The sequence below is a fragment of the Homo sapiens genome, chromosome 12, assembly GCF_000001405.40.
Source record: "Homo sapiens chromosome 12, GRCh38.p14 Primary Assembly".
In the NCBI taxonomy this organism is placed as follows: Eukaryota; Metazoa; Chordata; class Mammalia; order Primates; family Hominidae; genus Homo; species Homo sapiens.
Window position 1 is genome coordinate 81,141,937 of NC_000012.12, and position 22,888 is coordinate 81,164,824.

Consider the following 22,888-nt stretch of genomic DNA (forward strand, 5'->3'; position numbering starts at 1 on the left):
GTTAGCTATAAATGTGTTTATTCATACAGGTATCATATTCATACAGGCATCATATTTGTGATATTATATTGAAGTATTAATTGGTAAATGTACCTATTTAAATATATGAACAGTTTTTACAACCCTGATTAATGTATTAAGCAGCTTAGAAAATGGAAGTGGCTTGTCTTTTCTAAATTTTTCAATCTTTGGGCTTATCTCAGGAATCACTTTAATGAAATGGTTACATACATCTCTAGATAGTAGATCTCATTAACTTTCATTGAGTGTTATATAACTTTGCTTGTGCTTGTGCTAACATGTTCGCCAATTATAAACTTCCTGATGTGTGATCTTGAGCTCAGCTAACATCTAAGAAAAAAACTAGGCTTTTAATGGGCATTAACTCTACTTAAATAGCTGTAATTCCCCATCAGAGTAACTTTTCCATCAGCCACTTCCCTGCTTTTCACCCATCTGGCCATTTCATTGTCACTGTTTTTAAAAAAGACTATTTAATTTCTTTAAAGGAGTATCTGTTTAACTCATGACTCTATTATCACAAAGTTTACTAGAAGGAGGAAAACTTGGATTGTATTTTAGATATATCACAGACTCTGACTAAATTTCAAAACTGGATTTTAGTCTTCAAAAAGGAATAGTAGAATTCTTCCCTACTCCTGAAGAAGAATTAATGTTTTCTTATTTGGAAAGGTAGCTGTGGTATTACTCCTAAAGGCCATTGTATGAAGAGAAATTTTAATAGCTTAGTTGACACATCATTGTAAAGATAATAAATGCAAAATAAAATAAATAGGCTATGAAAAATAAAAATTAGTTTATAAAGTTATTAGTGTACATACATCTATAAAAACATGAAACGTTATTTAAGCCATGAGTGTTGATGGAAACATTACTGCATTATACTGAATTTCTAAAGGATATCTCTAGATTTAAATGAAACATGCTTTTTTGTCAGTTTAGTTGAAGTGAATATAAAACTTTTGGACTTTTTATAAACATTTATGTTAAATCATGAACTTGAACTTTTTAGTCATAAATCTGATGTTCAGTGCCATATAGGCCTAGATTTTCAGTCAGATGCTCAGACTTAAATAGATTTAGCTACTTTTTGTTCTCTTGATTTAATCTCCTTATTACAGTACATATTCTTATATTTTTGCTGTGTAGGAGGCGGTTCCTTTGGCTCCCGGTCGTGACCTTGATTGGGATGAAGAGATGGCAAAAGCCCAGTCACATGACTGTGTTCCTGTTCTTTCAGAACACCCACTGTATATTCTTTACACATCTGGCACAACGGGGTTACCTAAGGTACTCACTCTCTTAGAGATAACTATCTATAGCAGTAGATTTACTTTGCACCAAGAATGTTTGATCACTGACTGGAAATGTTTGCAGACTTTACTTTGAAGTTTAGAGAGTTACTTCATTTGCTTTTATTTTTTTTTCCTGTGCCCAGTCTGGAGTGCAGTGGCGTGATCTCACCTGACACAGTTACTCCATATCTTAAAGAGATTTTGTGTTTAGTGCTAAATATAAAAACATTTATTATTTAACATCAAATATTTTGCTCTCATTTCTTCCAGAATTGTCTCAAATGCTAGAAATATACAATTGCTTTAGTAGATGTTTAATTGAATATCAGTTGGTTTAATAACATTATATAAAAATATATTTTAAATAAAATATTTTTATTCTTTTAGATTGAGGTATAAGTTTCATGCAGTATAGAATTGATTTTTTGATCTAGGGGAATTCAATTATTTATTATGAATGTGATTTTGAGAATTGGCCTAGGCAGTTTGAACAGAGGCAATTTATCCAAAGTATTGAACTATTTGATTTACAGCATGGAAGACACTCAAGGATTTTTAAATCTGTTTACCATGAAATGTGTTTTTACAAAGCAAAGTTGAAAGCATCAATATTCATTGATGCGTCAAATAGCAACAAATACCACTTTTGCCTGGTATCTCCAAATAACACTGTTTCTTCATAGACCCTTATAAAAGATAACAGTATCATTTTCCTTACTCATCTTTATTAGGTGGTTTAATATTCATTGAATTGTAGAATTTTAGTAGGGGACGGGACTTTCATAATCATTCTCTTCCTTGAGGACAGTGGCTTCTTTATTACTGTTAGATTGCTATAGCATCAGTGTTCTGAAAACTTCATTTCTTAATCTTCTTAGAATAGTGGTTCTATTTGATTAGTTAGCTTTTTAAAAGGAAATTTAAGATGTTCCATATAAACCTTGCTTGTGAAAAGGAACACTTTTGGTAGGGTAATATATTCTCTCTGAGGACACAGGTTATGTTTTAGTATATTTTGGTCTACCATTGTGCTGTATGTAGTTGGTGCTCAATAAATTTTTGTTGAATTCATACGTAGATGCATGCACATGAAGATATTTGTTTCATTGTAGAATTGAAGCCTTATGATTTTGTTGCAACTCTAGTGACTTGAAAAATATTTCTGCATATTGAAGATTGGAAGATTTATTTATTGAAGCATGCCATATAATCTGCTCGACATAATTCTCAACCTCCACTTTTTCCAGTTCTGCCTTGCACACTAGCCACCTGGAGTCCAACTGAACATTTGGCTATAAAATAAGAGGGGACTCAGCAAAGTTATGATCTAATATAAAAGTATCAACTGAGAGAAAACTCCTGACCCTGAAAACACAGTATAACTTAATTTTTAAAAAATTTAGTTTCTTAAAAGCCTGAAGAAATCTTATAAAAACATTTGTGCTACCTCAAGACTTTAAGTCACTGAAATTCACTGTGACCTGGAATGGGATCTTATGGGAGGGGCAGAAGAAAAGGTTTTCAGAAATTAAAAGCTGACTTGCCAGTGTAGTAGAAATCAAATAAAAGCAATACACAGAGCATTATATTGAAAAGTGGTTCCAAATAAGGATGGACCCTAGCTATTCCAGGTTTTCTTTTTTTTCTTTTCTTTTTTTTTTTTTTTTTGAGACAGTCTCCCTCTGTTGCCCAGGCTGGAGTGCAGTGGCGCGATCTCGGCTCACTGCAAGCTCCACCTCCCGGGTTCACGCCATTCTCGTGCCTTAGCCCCCCGAGTAGCTGGGACTACAGGCGCCCGCCACCACGCCTGGCTAATTTTTTTTTTTTTTTTTTTTTTGTATTTTTAGTAGAGATGGGGTTTCACTGTGTTAGCCAGGATGGTCCTAATCTCCTGACCTCGTGATCCACCCGCCTCGGCCTCCCAAAGTGCTGGGATTACAGGCATGAGCCACTGCGCCCGGCCCAGGTTTTCTCTGAGAGGTTCTTTTCTGGATTCCTTTCAATGCCTAAATGGAAGATCCTTTGATATTTCTATCATCCTCATTTTCCTCCTAATGTACCATCCTGAGACAATCTATTTCAATAAATTTGAGAGGGCTTGAATTGTGTGGAGATTTCTGCATCACAGTGAATTTGACTCAATATAATGTATTTGTATTGAGTGCTCAACAGATACAACTATGAGTAAAGTACAGTCCTTCTAGTCTAGTGAGATTGAACTAGGTATGAACATAGGTGATGCAAGATAGAAGGTGATCCTTTAGTTGGGAAGATAGGTGACTACACACAATGGAGACAAAGAAATTAGTTTTCAGGCTGTTTAATTAGTTTGGGACTTTACATAGGACAGCATGCTTAACAGGGAGGAATCAGATTTGGTTCAAAGTTAGGAGTCTAAGACTTTGAGAACATATGAGGGTGCTTTTGAATATTCACTGAAATAGAATCAGAAGGATGGTTGGAGGCTAGGGAAACTAAAAGTCTTTGACATACTCATCATGATGTGTCTTCAGGACATTTAACATGAAGATGCCCAGTCAAGAGTTGGTGATGAGAGTCTGAGCCCAAGAGTTACACATATGGGGTTGGAGATAGACCCTTGTAGGTCACTGGGGTACAGGACTGGTGATTAAATTGTGTGCGTGAGTGGGCTTTGCAAAGTTAACACATACAGAATGGCAAAAGAAGGTAGTTATCTCTTTAGGTCCCTCTTCCTTCCAGTGGACTTTAGGGTTGAAATTGCTTTAAATTTTACATTACCAACAGACCTTCATGGCACTTATTTTAACCTATCTTATAGATATTAGTTTTTATGGCACTTATTTTAACCTGTCTTATACATATTAGTTTTTATTTATTTACTTTTATAACAATGAATGTTCTCTGAGGTCTTAGAATATACATTATCCTTTTTGGATCCACTGTAGCACTAACATTAAAATTTGACCCAGGTAGAGCAGAATATTTGTTGAATGATCTCTTACTTCTCTAGTAAGCCAGCTTCTTGGACACCTCCTTATTCATACAATTCTCGTTTCATTTTTCATAGGTATAATCAGGATTAATAGTACCTAAAATCTTAATATGGGATCCACAGAATGTAAGTATAGGAAAAATAAACACACATGCATTAATGGAGCATTTAGATATAAATATGATGTCATCATATGGTTTGTTTCCTCAATCCTTGATCTTCATGAGGAAAAATAATGTTGTGAGCTCATAAAACTCTTCTGCCTAAAAATGCTTGTTTCTCAAATATAAAACACACATAAGGCAGTCTGTTCTTTGGTTAGAATTTGTAGATACATTTAAAGCATATTTGCATATCAGCATTTGCCAACCCTGGAGTTGTCAAGTTGCTGTATGACAGGTTAATCTGTTAGCTGCTGTAAATATTCCAGCAACCACATGTGAGCTTCTTTGCATACATTTCTGTTTTGTTGTGGGCTTCTATTCTGTTTGGTCTGGGTGCCTATATTTGAGATAGTTCAAAGCACTACATGATAAAAGAATCCCTCATCTGGATCAGATGTCCTTTTAGGTATGGGAGATTTAGTGATTATAATATTTATCTTGTTCAGTTTGATATCATAAAGGGATCATGATAATATAAAAAGGAAAAATGTTCAGTGTCAAAAGAGAACAGGGGGAAAGAAATCAAAAGGAAAAGATTGAAAAGAAAGCATGACAAGAAAGTGGTAGATAAGGCCTTTTGTCCTGATGGGCACTTACTTCCTGCCCCAGAAAAAAAAAAGAGTGAAAGTCAAATAAAAAACAGCAGTGAACTTTTTTGTTTGATCTGTGGTACGCTCTTGCAGTTAAAGTGCTGAACTGGTTGCACCCTTGCCCCTTAGCTCACAGTTGTTCAGATCGACAAAAAAATTATACAACTGCCAAAATATCCTCCATGGACATAGCTTCAGAATCATCTGAAAACCTGTATCAAGATATTTCATGTTTGATGAAATATCCCGAATAGAAACTTTTTATGCCTTCTAAGAAGATTCAAGATTCACTAAGTTCTACAAGTGTCAAGGGTTTCTCCTGAACAAAGAGTGTTTGTTGAAATAATTGCATTGTTCACACGGGTTTATACACTAAACTGTTCACTCATTTAGACAGTCAACAAATGTATTAAATGCCTATTCTATCCCAGACACTGTGCTGAAGATACAAAGATGTTGTCCTCACTGTGCTCAAAGTGGTGGAGAAGGCACAGCACTAGGTGGGGATATCAGTCCTCTGATGAGGTTTGCAGGCCCTGAGGGCTGTGAAAGAGGACCTGAAAGACATTTGACACAAATAACAGGATGGGGTGAAACTTCCCAGAAGAGGTGGTATTTTTGCAATGTCTTGAAGTACTCCTGGTGAAGACATTGGAGTTCATCAGGTTTAGAAAAGGGGTGGAGGCTTACTCTAGAAAAAGGGGATGCCATCTGTCAAACCACTGTCAAAACAAGGTTTAGTGCTGACGTGTTAGATCTTTTAAACAATCAGAACCATTCATTTTTTTTCTCTGACGCCTGCCATCATCTGGTGATGGGTTTCTTTTCTTTCCTTCAAATAAAATTTATTTTCCCCCTTTATTGTTTCTTGTCAGGCTGAATTGATACACACACACACACACACACAAACGCACACATGTATATATATATGTATACATACATATACATAAGCATATAAATATGTACACATGCATGGATACATGCATATGTTTACATGTGTGTATGTGAATAGACATTTTACATATGTAAATATATATATATATTTGCCTTGTATGATTCTTTATTACAAAATAAATGATAGAGGGACTTAATGTAGGAAATAGGAAGTTTTGTCATGTACTCTAAGCTTTTCTACTCTCAGTATTTTGGGATTTGCCTGTCAGATATTTAAAGACCATTAAAAAAAAAAACTTATATTTTTACAATGAAGAATCCCAAATTCTTAATCTTACCACACACTTCAGGCTTCCCTCCTCTTCTACAACACCTATTGTTACAATTGCATTTTTCTTTTTCAAGTTGTGGCAGCCAAAACTGCACACAACATTTACACCAACATGTTTTCTGTTTTACTTTAATAGCCCCATTTATGACAATCTGTGAGTTTACTTGTCTTCAAAAGTAGCTCAGTAAGCTGGAAATTATAAAGAACTATCTGTGATAACTTTGTGGTCCTATTTCTGAGTAACTAACATTCACCCTTTACTTTTACTTGCACTGATTGGATTTTTTAAACACCATAAACATTGTATTTGTCCCCCACTCCCAAAAGAGAGCACCTTCATATTGCTTCCATTGCTATGTCTGAGATAGGATTCACTTTCATGTCTTTATTCAGGGCACAGAGTGCTAGTCCCATCTGGATATTTTTCAAGTTCCGCAGACATCTTTAAGAATTATGACTGATCCTACCAAAAGATCGGAACAGCATATTGGCAGGTTACAGGGTTTTTATGAGAATATATGAGATCATCTAGTGACTTTACTTTTAAGGTAGGTAGAGTATAAGTACATAGAGAGGCCAGGCGCAGTGCATCATGCCTGTAATCCCAGCACTTTGGAAGGCCGAGGCGGGCAGATCACGAGGTCTGGAGATCGAGACCATCCTGGCTAGCACGGTGAAACCCTGCCTCTACTAAAAAAAAAAAAAAAAAAAAAAAAATTAGCTGAGCCTGGTGGCATGCCTCTGTAGTCCTGTAGTCCCAGCTACTCGAGAGGCTGAGGCAGGAGAATCGCTTGAACCTGGGAGGCGGAGGTTGTAGTGAGCAAGATCGTGCCACTGCACTCCAGCCTGGGTGACAGAGCAAGACTCCATCTCAAAGGAAAAAAAAGAAAGTGCATATAGAAGGTAATAATAAATAATAGAGATTCGAAAGACTAAAATGAAGAAGGTTTGTGTTTTAGGGGTAAGCACTGGTATTGAGTATTTTTACTTCATATTCAGATATACTGTAAAAGTGCTATTTTTAGTTTACAACTAAATTTGCTTAGTTATAGTATAATGGTTTGTTTTCTGGAGCATAATTTATGTGTTTTCAGAGGCTGAATGGTGTTTCTCTTTTGCATTTTAATTATCATTACCTGGAAAATGTGATTATAAACAGGAAACAAAAATGCTTTATCATCTTATTTTTGTTACAAATTAATATTTATGCTAAAGAAATTCTCTTGAAATGTAACCTTCGTGTTTTTTATACTTTCAAACCTCTTACAAAACGTGAACCTGGAGAATATGAAACCATGCATTTCTTTTTTCTGCACCATATCAAATACTCAGAAATTTGAAACTGTATTATCTGAGCATTTGAGAGGCAAGACCAAATTGCAGATCTAGAGTCTAGATTAATAAATGGTAAAAAGATGCTTGATTAAAATTTTTATACTCATTCTTTAAAAAATAAAAGTAAGTGGGTATCAAAGACTAACGAAAAACAGAAATTACGGCTCTTCTCACTCCTTCAGCTTCATTTTAATTGTTTTAAATGAGAATCTTTGACGGCAACCTCTAATTATTTTGACATTTATGCCTTTTGACTGATAGGAGCACAGGGTAAAATAAAAAGCAATAATTGCTAGAACCAAGGAAATAATATTGTTAATGAAATTTTAAATTTTAGTCTTTACAACTTTTAATGCTTTTTCACGCATGTTCTCATTTTTAAGTCTCTTTTTTTTGGTCAGATGGGTTTAAGTATTCACTAATTTACAGACAAAGTGACATTGGTAAATGTCGTTTGAAGAAGTACTCATCTGAGAGGTAAATAGAAATTTGTCAACTTATCCTTTACATTTATGTTTCAGGTTTTACAATTGAATTACTACTCAGTTATGTCTTCCCTTACCTTTTATTTCTGGTCATCATTTCTAGTCAATGCATCTTACCCTCTGTACCATATGGTCTAAACATTTACCTAGTTTTAATAATGTTTAGAGTTACTGATAAAAATGGGTTCTAAATGCAGGGACATGTAGGATGGAGAGAAAATTTTAAAACATGTTTAATTGAAATTATTACTGATATTAAGTATCACCATCTGTCATAACACATGGACAGCATATTGTCTACAAAAGCTACTTTTTCTAGTCTGTAAAATGAATAGTTTTTATAAAGTGTTTGCAAATTGATTAATATCAGATTCATCAATCTGTTGAGCCATAGGAAAAGATCTTCTCAATAGAACAAACTAGCAAAGTGCATGGACGATAGGATAGGATACAGTGGAAAAATAACTGTTTCGTTTACATGGGAAGGTGCACGTGTAAAGCCTACTGGCAGGGGGCTTAGAATTTCTAATGTTCCCATGGAGATCAACAGGGCCAGCTGCATGCTAACCATGTCATACAATCTAGAAAATAGCTCTCAAATACCAACAACACTGCATCTGATATTTGCTAAGAGACCAGGTGTTGTTACAGGTGAATAAAATAATGTTCCACAGCATGATGCCTATGTTTTATTAGTGGCACCTGAGGAGAGCAGCAATGTTAGTAACTAACGGAAAGTCAATTTCTGTTTCATTTTCCTGATTTGTGTATGTGTGTTAAGGTGCAGAGCTATGCTAAAAAGCATAACTAATAGCACAGTTATTGATTAGATCCATGTTTGCCCTTTCATAAAAAACAATTTTTTTTGCATAAGAGCAGTTATAATTGTTGTACTAAAAGATGCTTCAAAATACATGTGAATGGAATATACCTTCTATCTCTTAGCAGGTGTTCACCTACTCATTCTGAGTATTCACTCAGTTATGTCTTATTGGGCCAATGATGATTAATGTTTTTTAAAACAATAAATGAACTTAATTATTAAATTTTCCATTAGTTCTTATTTATGGTGACATTTATACCCAGTGTTCAAATATTAATCTTTCATTTAGGTTGAATATGGTCCCAGTGTTGGGGAGAGCTATTTGAAACTGATTTGTGAAAACTTTACTACAATGATATAATGATCCCTACTTTTGCCCAAAATGCAATATAAGACAAATTTTTTAACCTTAGATTCAACTCACTGGAATTCAGCCCTAAGAGTTCTAGAGTTCATAACTAAAGAATTGCTCAGCTTTAAAGTGTGCTTGCATGATCCTCAGTGAAGCGTTGTAATGAGATTCCAGTTAGAATATGACTTTGTTTCCTCCAAGCAGCTATTATTATTTAATCATCTTAAGAAATAGAGGTCCTTATGTTAGTCTGCATTTGAGGTGTATAACTACATTTTACCTTTCTTCGCATTAAATTTTGTTCTGGAAATATGTCTGAAAATGTAGTGTTGATAATGTGTGGTGCCATTAGAAAAGTTTGTATTGCATGTAATTTTGTGAAATCATGTTTTCTTTAGAAGACTAATAATGTTATGTGAGAATGGATTCTAAAAATGGCACTAATGAGGACAAATTATTTTGTGTTGACTATTGAAGGACCCAAAGAAATAATGATTCAAAGATAATTTTATAAAAGCCAAAGTAACTTGTAGCTAATATATAAAATACTTTTGACCAGGAACTTTTAAAGTGGATGCTATGAAGATAGAGAGTGTTTTTACACATTGTTTATTGATTTTAATTTCACTTTTTCTCTCCTTAGGGTGTGATTAGGCCCACTGGGGGATACGCTGTCATGCTACACTGGTCAATGTCTTCCATATACGGACTTCAACCCGGAGAGGTAATCGTGGTTTTAAATTTACATTACATGACATTCTCTGAATAAAATATATTCATTTTATTATCTTATTTTTTAGGTGTGGTGGGCAGCTTCTGACTTAGGCTGGGTTGTTGGACATTCCTATATCTGCTATGGACCTCTTCTTCATGGGAACACAACAGTTTTATATGAGGTAATAAAGTAAAGTTAATACCACATATAAATGATATTTATTTTATTAAAACTTTTCATGAAGCAGTCCTGAGTAGGATCAGAAAAATTGGGGTGGGGACAGGGGACATTATTATATCTTCTTCCAGTTAAAAATATAATTTTGAAAGGGAAAAGGATATGTAGGAAATATTAGCCTGTTATTTAAATTTTGTTGAACAGTCAGAATTAAATTCTGAAGAACATACAAAAACAAGCTTTATATCTATCCCTAACATTTCTAGAAATTATTGGCAAACTGATACTGATTTTAGAGTCCTAGAAAATAGTTATCATAAAACAAGCAATGTAGATTCACCTTTTTTATTTTCATAGGATTAATGGATTTCCAAAGTCATGTTGTCTCAATTTTAAATAAATACTTTCCTTGGTTTCTAATAAAGCTCTGTGTATAAGACATAGGAATATAGACTGACCAGATTTATACCTGAATAAATAACTGTTTAAAAATTCGATGAATATATCAGTGTCACCTAGGAATAAGATTTCTTTGCATATAGGAAATTTACTTCATATGCCTATTCCATTTAACTTTATCAATGTCTTGTATAAAGACTTAGAAAACATACCTATCAGATCTGTAGAAGATCAAAGTCTTGGAGGGATAACTAATATGGTAGTTTGCTAAATTATCATTCAAAATGGCCTTGGACTTTTGGGACAAATTTAACAAGATGGAAAAATACATAAATATTTACAGTTCTATATTTAAATTAAAAAATACAGAAATGAAATAGGGAAAACTTGGGTTAGTTGTAGTTTATGTAGCCAAATCTCTGGGTATTATAACATCCATAACTTAAACATAAGCTGTTGGTAGGACTGTTTTTAAAAAATACTTACCATGTGCAATGATGTAATCTTACTTTACTCTTCCACATTTGAAAATTTGTATTCAGTTTAATTGAGATGATAAAAAAAATCACTAAATTACTAGAAAGCATCTGAAAAAAGGGAGTAGCATGGAAATAATGTATACAAGAAAGAGGTGGGCTGGGCATGTTGGCTTATGCCTATAATCCCAGCACTTTGGGAGGCCGAGGCAGGTGGATCACTTGAGGTCAGGAGTTCGAGACCAGCCTGCCAAACATGGTGAAGCCCTGTCTGTACTAAAAATGCAAAAAATAGCCAGACCTGGTGGTGCATGCCTGTAATCCCAGCTACTCAGGAGGCTGAGGCAGGAGAATCACTTGAACCTGGGAGGTAGAGGTTGCAGTGAGCTGAGATCATGCAGCTGCACTCCAGCCTGGGCGACAGAGTGAGACTCCATCTCAAAAAAAAAAAAAAAAGGTGAAGAAATTGGGAATGGCTAGTCTGACAAATAATACACTTAAAGTGCAGATATTATAAGTATATTTTGATGTTTAAAAAGTTGCTACATATAAATTATGTAGTCTTGAATGCGGAGTTACAGAGGGTTATATTTTGGGAATAATCAGAGACAAACTTAAATGCTTGGCAGTAGAACAAATGGACAACTTCTCAAATATAAGGCTCTCTCTCACATAAGTGTTCTGTCAATACCAGACAAGGATTGTGAAGTAAAGGGAATTTTATATGTGGGGTGTGGAGAATAGTATTAAGTGATTTCAAGTTAATTTGCACTCTTAAATTTCTGCAAGTCAATGAATTTGAAAACATGAGAGGCCATTCTCAATCTTTCTGGAATACTCCAGGCCTCATCATCACTTAAAGGCTATTTGTGTTCTTTCATTTTTAGCTGGCTGATTTTCTGTCTCTGAATGCTAAGAAATATTAAGGTAGACTTTGACACAAGTATTAAACCATCATATACTACTCTACACTTTTGTATCATGCTTTTATATCTTGCGGACTTGATATGCATTTGGGAATTCATATACTACTCTGCAGCTTTTGTATAGTGCTTTTATATCTTGCATACTGAATGTGCATTTAGGTATTTGTAATAATTAAAACAAAATAATCTTGAGAAAACATTTTGTACCATTGTCTTTGCAATATAATGTTTTTAATTTAAAAAATTATTTCTCTTGAAGTAAACAAAATAAACCTCTACACTGAATAGTTATTTTGAATTGTGGCATTGCTTACATAAATATGACAAAGCCAAAGATGCTAACATATTTTTGGTTATAAGCATTAAGCTGCTTTAGAATTGAGATACATACATATTTTGCGCTATTTACCATGGGCTTTTATTGTTTCTCAAGTTTATTTGAAACATGATATTAACACTGTGATGGAGGGTTGTTTGTTTCTATGTTGGAATGATTTGCTCAAGAAGAGTGTAGATGCTCTATAAATATTTGTTGTGTGAATAATTGACTGAAGTAAGCTACTATTTAAAACCTTTTCTCTGCCCTCTGGCTTGTTTTCTACAACTTATAAATGTCTTTGACTTTCTCTGGTCACAAAACCAAGTCTTTTAGACCTTTGCCTGCTTCAACTATGCCATCTTTATTTTCTTCTCCACTAAATTCCTTGAAAAAATATCCTGCCCAGATTCCTGAACCTCATATTGTTTCAGTTATTCCTCATCTCACCGTAGTCTGATTTATGTTCACATCATTTCATAGAAGCTGCTGCAGCAGGGGTCACCAGTGACTTCATAAGTGACAAAGTCAAAGGGCCTTGTTTAATCTGATTTTATTTTTTCTCTTACTAGAGTTCAGCCCTGCAGACCATTCCTTTAGGTGATCCTTTCCTCTCTCTTGAGCTCCAGGCTCTTTGGCTAATGTTCATGTTGTTTCTTTTTTCTGGTGTGACTTTCCTCCTGTCTTTCCTTTCTTGGTTAACTCCTACTCTCCTTGTAGACTCTGCTTAGATGTTATAATTTCTTGAAAGTTTTCTCTCACGTTCTTGGGCTGTGTGCAGTGCCCCTTTTTGTGGTCCCGTTGCTTTCGAGCATATGTCTGTCACTGAGCTGGCCACACTATACTGAAATGATACATTTATGTCTAGAAGAGGGTATCATCTCGAAGAGGATAAAAGCCAGTTTCACAGCACAGTGCATAGCACACACTACACAATTAATAAATACTTGTGGAACTAAATTATACTCTACTCCTCGTTTTCTTTCTTCCATCCTGACAGCTTGTTCTTCTTTTCTTCTCTTTGTTTCTTTCACTTTGGTCCTTAACATTAGAGTTTAGCAGGATCATAGTCTTTGCTCTATTTTCTTATTCTGCTTACGTTTCCTGGATAATCTCCAAGCAGTTTATATTTGAGGATCATTAATTAAATCATGGCTTCTAAATCCCCTTTTTATATCTGCCTTTCCTGCTGAGTACTAACCTATTGTTAGACATCTCTGAATAGTCTGTGCACATCTTATGCCCAAGATGACATGAACTGAGTTCTGTATCTCCACCCCACCCTGCAAACCATATTTCCTTCAGTGCACTCTGTGTTTCTGTTAATGTTACCTCCATTCATGCAGTAATGCAAACTGAGAATCTGCAAGTGATTCTTAAGTTCATTTTCCTTGCATCTCACACTCTGCTGGTCATTACAGTTTGTTGAATCTACTTATTCAGTACTTATCAAAAGTGTCCTCTTTTTTCCATGCCTCTTGACATGTATTCAGGGCTGATATTCAGCTCATGCACAAATATGTCATGTTGACTTATGTCCATTCTATGTTTTGGCTTCTGATATGATGTGTGCCTATACATTCCAGTTACATATTTCAGGTTATCATTAGATACACTTCTCTCTTAATATTGATAAAACAACAGACAGAAAGTCAGTGAAGATGTAGAAAAACTTGACATCATCAACCAACAAGATTTAATTGACATTCATAGAAAACTATTCTCGACAGCAGCAGAATACACATTCTTTTTAAATGCCCACAGAATAATTACCAAGATAAACGAAAACCTGGGCCACGAAACAAACTTCAACTAATTTAAAAATATTTGAAGTCATGCAAAGTCTATTTTAAGACCACAGTATTTTCAAACTAAAAATTAAAAAGAGTTAACAGGAAAATCCCCAAACAATTGGAATCTAATCAATATACTTCTAAATAAATAATCCATAGGTCAAATAGGAAATATCCAGGAAAACACACACACACACACACACACCCCACACACACACACACACACACGTCTCTGGGTGTATATATCTCAAACTGATTGAAAAAGAAAGTACATCATATAAAATTTTGGAGGACACAACTAAGGCAGTTCTGAGAGGGAAATTTATAGCACTAAATGGATATACTAGAAAAGAGGAAAACTCTCAAATCAAGAATATAAGCTCCTATCTCAAGATCCTAGGAAAAGAGGAACAAAATATACCTAAAACCAGGAAGGAATAATAAAGGTAAAAGCAGGAATCAATAACATTGAAAACATAAAAACATAGAAAATTAATGAAAAAGAACTATTTCTTTGAAAAGATAAATGAAATGGACAAACCTCTACAAGCCTAGCAAAGAAAAGAGACAGAAGACACAAATTACCAGTACCACATGTGAAACAGTAGATATCACTAAAGACGCTGCAGACATCAAAAGTGTAATAGGGGAATACTATGAGAAATTCAACACACATAAATTTGACAACTTAGATGAAGATGAAATAGACTAATTCCTCAAAAACCATAAACTCACCAAATGAGAAATAAATTACTAGAATAGCCTTATTACTATTAAGAAAATCCAATATGTAATTAAATAGACTCCCAACAAGAAATCTCCAGACACAGATGGTTTTACTGGAAAATTCTACCAATGTTTAAAATAGAAGAGGAGGCAGGTGGCTGGTATTTCTGTATTCCATGTGCCATCTACTAATGTTTAAGGGAGAATCAATACCATTTCTTCACAGTCTCTTTCAGAAAATAGAAGAGGAGGGAACACTCTCCTTATCATTTAATGAAGCTTGTATTGCCCTAATAAAAAGTCAACGACAAAAAAAAATACTACAAACTAATGTCCTTCATAAACATATAGATACAAGAATTCTTGACAAAATATTAGCAAATATTTTGAATTCAACAATTCAGCAATCTATAAAATGAATTATACACTGTGACCAAGTGGAATTTATTCCAGAGGTACAAGGCTGCTTCAATATCTGAAAATTAATCAAGGTAATCTACCATATTAATAGGCTACAGAAAAATTATATAATCATATTAATTGATGTAGAAAAAGTTGTTTAATAAATTCAACATTCATTCATAATGAAGAGCTATCAGAAAACTAGTAATTGAAAGGAACTTCCTCAACCTGACAAAAGATCACCTATGAAAAAACCTGCTGCTAATATCATACCTAATCATAAAAGCCTGATTGTTTCTCCTCTGTTGTTCAGGAACAAGGCAAGTATTTCCACTCTCACCCTCTATTCAACATATCTGTGGAAGTTCTAGCTCATTTAATAAAGAAGTATAGGGAAGCTGGGCGCGGTGGCTCACGCCTGTAATCCCAGCACTTTGGGAGGTCAAGGCGGGCAGATCATGAGGTCAGGAGTTCAAGGTCAGCCTGACCAATATGGTGAAACCCCATCTCTACTAAAAATACAAAAATTAGCCAGGCATGGTGGTGCGCACCTATAGTCCCAGCTACTCGGGAGGCTGAGGCAAGAGAATCGCTTGAACCCAGGAGGTGGAAGTTGCAGTGAGCCAAGATCGCAACACTGCACTCCAGCCTGGGCAACAGAGCAAGACTCCCTCTCAAAAAATAAATAAATAAATATAAACAGAAATATAGAGGAAGAAAAGGCATACACACCAGAAGGGTAGAAATAAAATTGTCTTTATTTGCAGATGGCATGATTATTTGCATAAATGATTACAGAATACACACACACACACACACACACACACACACACACACACAAATCCCATAACTAATAAGTGAGTTCAACCCAGTCTCAGGATACAAGATTAACATACAAATATTCATTGTGTCTCTATAAATCAGCAATGGCCACATATGGCCATAAAGGGCATCACGAAGGATCCTTGTAGAGATGAACTGGTTTGTATCTTGACTGTATCAATATTCTGATTGTGATAACATATTGTAGTTTTGCAGTTTTTACACCTGGGGAAAACTGGTTAAAGGGTATATCTCTGTATTACTTCTTACAACTGCATGTAAATCTGCTTATTTTCCTGATAATTACCACATTTTCAAACAAATTCATAAAACTACCTCATTAAAACAAACAACAACAAAAATCTCTAATCCCTTATCTCCTGACAGCTACAACATTCTCTCTTTAAGGCCTTGTCTACACTCAACAGCTTCAACAGCAATTGGAGAAGATTGCAGAGTAAGTTCCTGATTAAGAAATGGAATTTACTCTGCAATCTTCTCCAATTGCTGTCACCATCATTCCATAGCTACAGCTTTTCCTAACATCCCCAGTCATCTCTACTTGCCAAAGTCAATGGGCATTTTCAGTCTTCACTGTGCTTGACTCCTCAGCATTTGAAAGTGTTGGCCATTTGCTCGATCCTAATCATTCTCTTTCCTTCCAAGGTACAACGTGCTCCTGTCTAATGTACCACATGCTCCTGTTTCCCTGCAGTTATTCTTATGCTCATTCCTGTCCCAGGAACATTGCCTGAAATATATGCTACTTGTCTGTTAGATTTCAGCTGGTGTCACTTCCTCAGGGAAGCCCTCCTTGACCTCCCTGATTAGGTCAAATCCCTTTATCATGGTCTTTTAGCACATTGCATTTTCCCTTGGTGGTTTGTATAAAACTTGCAGATTCATATTAGTCTTTAGGCTCCTTTGATGTGTTCGTTTGCCCTTCTTTCCTCTAACTGTACTAAGGAAGGAGTCATCTGAGTTTGTGTCCACCGTCAATTCTCAGCTCCTTGCCTTAATGACACATATTCAGTATTTAATACATATTTGTTAAATAAATGCCTGAATGACAATATCAGAAGAAAACTTGATTTATACGTAAAGATTTTTTCTATCAATGAGTAAGAGTAATTTAAATTTTCTTTTTTTTACAACAGGACTGCATGAGCAACTTATATAAGTCAGGTTATATGTTTTATAGACAGAGATTTACTTTTATCAGTGGAATTGGACATATTTAAATACAGAACACCTGTATTTAAGTAGTTTATTTTCTGAGAGGGAAATTTATAGCACTAAATAGATAGATTAGAAAAGAGGAAAACACTCAAATCAAGAATATAAGCTCCTATCTCAAGAACCTAGGAAAAAAGGAACAAAATATGCCCAAAACCAGGAAAGAATAATAAAGTTACCAAATAATAAAGGAATAAGTCAGGATATATGTTTTATAGACAGAGATTTACTTTTATCAATGGAATTGGACATATTTAAATACAAAACACCTGGCCAGCTCAGTCAGTGCAGTATGAGATGTTTAAAGTATGCAATTCTTGAAGGAAAATTGGATTGACCAGTTAAAATATGGAAACCAATTCTGAATAATTTAGTCTTTACTTTTGAGAGGAAAAAATTGAATGGTACTTCTTTAGAAATCTACTTCATTAATAGAGCAGTGATTCCAATAGATCTAACCCTAACCGTGTATGAACAAGAACAGATATTTGGTAGGATGGTTTTGCCAAAGAGAAGGGATAAAACACAAGCAATCTTTTCACATAGGAATGCAATGTACAAACAAATTTAGCTAACAGCCTAGTGTGTATGCGCATTCACATGTGTGTGATGGCAAATGGTGATTATACAGAGATATGCTCCCTTGCCTCTCTCTTCTTTCTAGTATTTCTTCCCTTTACCAGACTGTCATCTGCAGAATCAAAATCCAACACATTTCTCTAAGGCAAATAAATCTTTCCGTGTCCTGCCTTTCTCCTTATCTTTGCTGTCTACCAATGTGCAAAAGTGTGTGTTGTACACATATTTCAATTTCATGATACAGTAAGCCCAGGCTTCCACAATGACAGTGGTGTGGTTAAGCAAGAAATGAGATTACTGTTCCTTGGCTAGAGTATTACGTAGGTCTAAAATGGAATGTTAGTAGTTACTGTTTCTCCTTAAATCCGGCTTTAGAGTAAGCCATAAACTGGTTGGTATAATTGGTCTTGATATAGCAGTTGTCATTTTTATGTAATAACAGTCTTCTTTTCCAGTCAAGGGATATAAGTTTGCTCTCATTTTACATTTGTTTGTATTTCACATATGGTATACATCACAGCAACAAGCCTTTTCAATAAATTCTTCAGTATGTTTACTAGATTAGCAAGGGCAGATGGCTATTTGTTAATAATTCAACAATTAACTTTGAAGGTATATGCCATACTCTGCCTTCTCAGGCAATAAATTGAATTAGAGAAAGGTGAGGATTTAAAATTCTGAATGATGGTACAGGAGTATGGTCGCTGGACTAGAAATACTAACATATGTGTGGTTATCTTGCTCTGCCTTTATGTACCTATATGACTTAAGCAAATTAATTAAACCTCTTTGGTAGTTCATTTTTTAATCATTAAAATGAGAGGGTTGACACACACTGTCTCAATTTTCACTTTTGTGAATCTTCTTCACTTTAATTGGTTTTCTTGAATAAATATATTATTTGGTAACTTATTTTATTTTTTAACTCTGGAATTTATTCCAATTTCTTTTCATAGTTAGGGAATGCTGATTCTTCAAATATATTTACTGAAGAAAACTTTCACTTTAAATTAGTGAATACTTTTAGTGTTTGAGAGGAAGCATACTAGTTAAGGCTGCCATGGTATGATTTCTGACACTTCTGTTTATTAATTGTGTGGCCTCAAGCTGCTTTACTGCTTTCTGCCTTAGTCTTCTGAACTATAATTATCAGTAGTAATAATACCTATGGCATTCAATTGGTTAATCTGTGAATAAATATTTAGAATAATTCCCACGATATAATAGTGTAATCAGTTCTGGATATTATAAGCTATAGTTATTATTCAAAAACACAAATGTATTATTTCCCAGAATAGAATTCTAATATATAAACACTAAACATAAATTCTCCTGTAATCCAGTCACTTAAATGCTTGAATATTACTCACATTTCTTCTTTCAAAGTCTGTTTGTCCTCATAACATTGAAGAATTCAAATCAGAGCACTAGAGGCAGCTCCCTTTGGAGCCCATTAATTCTCCTCTCAGCACCAAGAAAAAAGAAATCAGCATACAGGGATGTGTTGATTCAGCTACTACGAATTTTGAAGAATGAGCAGAAGATATAGGAGAAAACTCGGTGGTCTCTCCCCTTGTAGATCTATCCTTTAAGTGTAGGACTTGTGAGTTAAATAAAAGTGAACTCGAAGGCTTTAATCAGTGAATAACACAGAGAATTCCCTGGCTCACCATTACCAAGCATTTTAATGTTTCACTTCTATTTTTTTGATGGGCATTATCATTGCTAGTTTTTCAACTTTGCATAAAAGTTTGAAAACTTCATAGTATTCAGCTTGATAATCTCTTACTGAATGCTTTTTCTTAAATTCATAGACAGAATGGAGAGTTTAGATAACCCTAATGTCACAGGACCCTTGGGATGTTGCTTTTCCAGCCAGAAGCCTCTGCAGCTGGTGATGCTTTGTCTTGAGTTTTACTTGAGCCTGCTGGGCTCTCTCTGCCCACTTGTCCTGGCAGGCTGTGCTCAGCTTGTCCTACTGGCCTGGATCCCATGCCTGCCAAGGGCAAGCCAGGACCAAAATGGCAAGGGGTGTGTGAGCATGCAAGCGTGGGGTCCAGCCACTGCACACAGTCAGGCACACTGGTTGTTAATGCTGGTTGGGCAGCTCCAGGAGCCACTACGGACCTGTGTCTGGACGAGGGAAACATGGTGGCACATGGAAGCTTGGAGATGCCAGGAACTGCAGAGCCCCAAAAAGTTTGTCACAGCCCTGGCTTGGGGAGCCCCCAGGTCTGGGCTGCTCAAAGGGCCACAGCCCTTCTCTCCTTCTTGTCACCCATAACATGACAAGCAGGGACGGAGGCCGTGTTTCAGCCCTGTTTGTGCTATAGCTCTTTCAGTTCAGCCATTTGGTGAATCCTGAGTTCTTGTCCCATGTCAAGGATGCATGAGTATGCAGACAACTGGAGGGTGAGCAAGGCAAAGAGGTGCTTTAATTGAGCAACAGTACGGTCTCTGAAGACATGAAGTGGGTAGGTCCTGTCCACAGGCAAGAGGAGACCTGGAGAGGGTAGCTCCTATCTGGAGGCAGGTCATCCCAATATCTGTGCAGCTTGCAGCTGAGAGGACACCCAGAGTGGGTAGTTCCTATTGGCAGGCAAGTCATCCCATTGAGTCTGCAGCCCTCTGGAATGGATAACTCCTATCTGCAGGCAAGCTGTCCCTCAACTCTGTGAGTCTGGCTGAGTCTGGGGTTTTTATGGTCTTCAGAAGGGAGAAAGTGCATGCTGATTGGCCTATTAGCAGCCATGGATGGCCTGGAAAAAGCACCATAAGTTCTCACTCTGGGCCTGGGACCCCACCCAGAACTGACAGCCCTGCTCTCAGGTTTCAGGCTGTCCCTGCCTTGAAGGGGAGGCTTCACTGGGGACCCACCCCTTTCCACCCAGAAGCCTGTCTACCTCCTGCTGTCATTAACATGTTGTCCATGGCACCCTGGCTGTCCATGCTGAGGGGCACCTGCAGGCATGTGCTGAACCATCCTCAGCCCCCTTTGATCCCCCTCCTGTGCTCGTTGACACCCAGAGTTCAGAGGGGGCCAAGGAGGTAGGGGGCTGGCATGTTTGCAGTGCCCTGAGTGTGCACACACTCGGCTGTGTTGTGACATCACCTGGACAGGGCCACAACTTTGCTATGAAATCAGAGCAGGCACCAGGAGCAGGGAGAGGCCATGCAGCAGGAGCAGGCACTTCCAAGCCTGTGTGGGGACAGGGGCTTCCTGGGCCTCCGAGAACACAGGGATGGCTGGGTGGCTGCAGCTGCGGCCCAGAGGACTGGGATCCTATCCCACCAGCTTGGAAAGTTGTCTCCACAGTAACCATTCCAGATGGGCCACTGCTGCTGCCACTAACCTTTCTTTATAGAATGATCGGTATAGAAATGAACTCTGTAGTCTTTATATTTGTTTAGGAATCAAATGGGATAGTGTAGTTGAAAGTAGTTCAAACGTTTCAAAAATATTATTTTTTTATAAAGTCCAATCATGTGTTACATAAAAATGTTTTGGTCAGTGATAGATCACATATACATTGTGGTCCCATAAGATTATAATGGAGCTGGAAATTTCCTATCATCATAATGTTGTCACACATTGCATTTCTCACGTTTGTGATGCTGGTATAAACAAACCTACTGTGCTGCCAATGGGGTAAAAGTATAACACATGCAATTATGTGCAGCACATTAATACTTGATAATGATAACAAACGACTGTGGCTGGTTTGTATATTTACTATACTATACCTTTTATCTTTATTTTAGAGCGTACTCCTACATATTAAAAAAGGTTAACTCTAAAACAGTCTCAGACAGATCCTTCAGGTGGTATTCCAGAAGAAGTCATTATTGTCATAGGAGATGACAGCTCTATGCTTGCCCTAGTAGAGCTTCCAGTGAGACAAATTGTGGAGATGGAAGACAGTGATACCGACAATCCTGATCCTGTGTAGGCCTAGGCTAATGTGTATGTTTGTGTCTTAGTTTTTAAACAAAAAAGTTTAAAGTTTTTTAAAAATTGAAATTTTTAAAATGGAAAAAACTTATAGAATGAACATGTAAACAAAGAAAATAATTTTGTTCAGTTGTACAATGTGTTTGTCTTTTAAGCTGTCTTATTACAAGTCAAAAATTTAAAAAACTAAAACATTTATAAAGTAAAATAGTTACAGTAAGCCAAGTTTAATTTATTATTGGAGAAATAAAACTACTTCTTTAGAAATTTAGTGTAGCTTAAGTGTGCAGTGTTTATACAATATGTAGTATTGTACAATAATGTCCTACACCTTCATATTCATTCACCACTCACTCACTGACTCACACAAAGCAACTCCTAGTTCTATAAGCTCCATTTCTAGTAAGTGCCCTATGTAGGTGTAGCATTTTTTATCTTTTATACCATATTTTTACTGTTATTTTTCTATGCTTAAACATGTTTAGGTACACAGTCACTTACCATTGTGATACAGTTGTCTACAGTATTCAGTACAGTAACATGCTGTACAGATATGTAGCCTTGGAGTAAGAGGCAATACCATATAGCCTCAGTGTGTGGTAGGCTTCACCATCTAGGTTTGTATAAATACACTCTGTGAGGTTTTCACAATGCTAAAATCACCTAAAGATACATATGTCAGAAAGTATTCTCATCATCAAGCAACATGTGATTGTACATTTTATACATGTGTAAATAAGAGTAATCATTATCACTTTATATGTGTGGACTAAAACTCTAAGCCATTTCCAAATATGCAAGTCTCATATTTGAAAATATTGAGGGTAGGAACTGCTCGCAAGTTATTTTTTGCATTTAATACTCTTGCTAAATTATCCCCAAAGTATCTTTAATGAACATCTCAATTCTGTATTTCCCTGTATCTGTAATCTCCACTAAGTCATCCTATACTGTATTTTTCACATGTACACCTTCTGAATACTTAACTCCTCCCAGGCTTCATTTTCACAGTGTAATTTTACCTACATGGAGGTAGTTATCTTCTCTTTGCAAGAATTTTGTATTTTTATTTATATTAACCAGTTTAATTTGTTTATTCCTTTTT

General features: G+C 35.9%; 1 protein-coding gene and 1 non-coding gene across 7 annotated transcripts in view; both read left to right on the forward strand.

Moving 5' to 3' along the window:
* ACSS3 (acyl-CoA synthetase short chain family member 3) overlaps positions 1-22,888 on the forward strand; it is a 183,340-nt gene that overhangs the window by 64,066 nt on the left and 96,386 nt on the right. For 5 of the 6 annotated variants that reach the window (XR_944720.4, XM_047429549.1, NM_024560.4 and 2 more), the window contains exons 5-7: positions 1,171-1,311; positions 9,908-9,988; positions 10,065-10,160. Coding sequence is in view for 5 of the 6 variants with exons in the window: in XM_047429549.1 (XP_047285505.1) it covers positions 1,171-1,311; positions 9,908-9,988; positions 10,065-10,160 (318 nt within the window). In the remaining variant the exon portion in view is untranslated. Of the gene's footprint in view, positions 1-1,170; positions 1,312-4,365; positions 4,417-9,907; positions 9,989-10,064; positions 10,161-22,888 lie in introns of all 6 variants that reach the window. The other variant, NM_001330243.2, reaches the window with a different exon arrangement.
* MIR4699 (microRNA 4699) lies at positions 16,452-16,525 on the forward strand. The gene has a single exon (NR_039848.1). It is a non-coding gene; the product is annotated as a microRNA 4699 (primary transcript).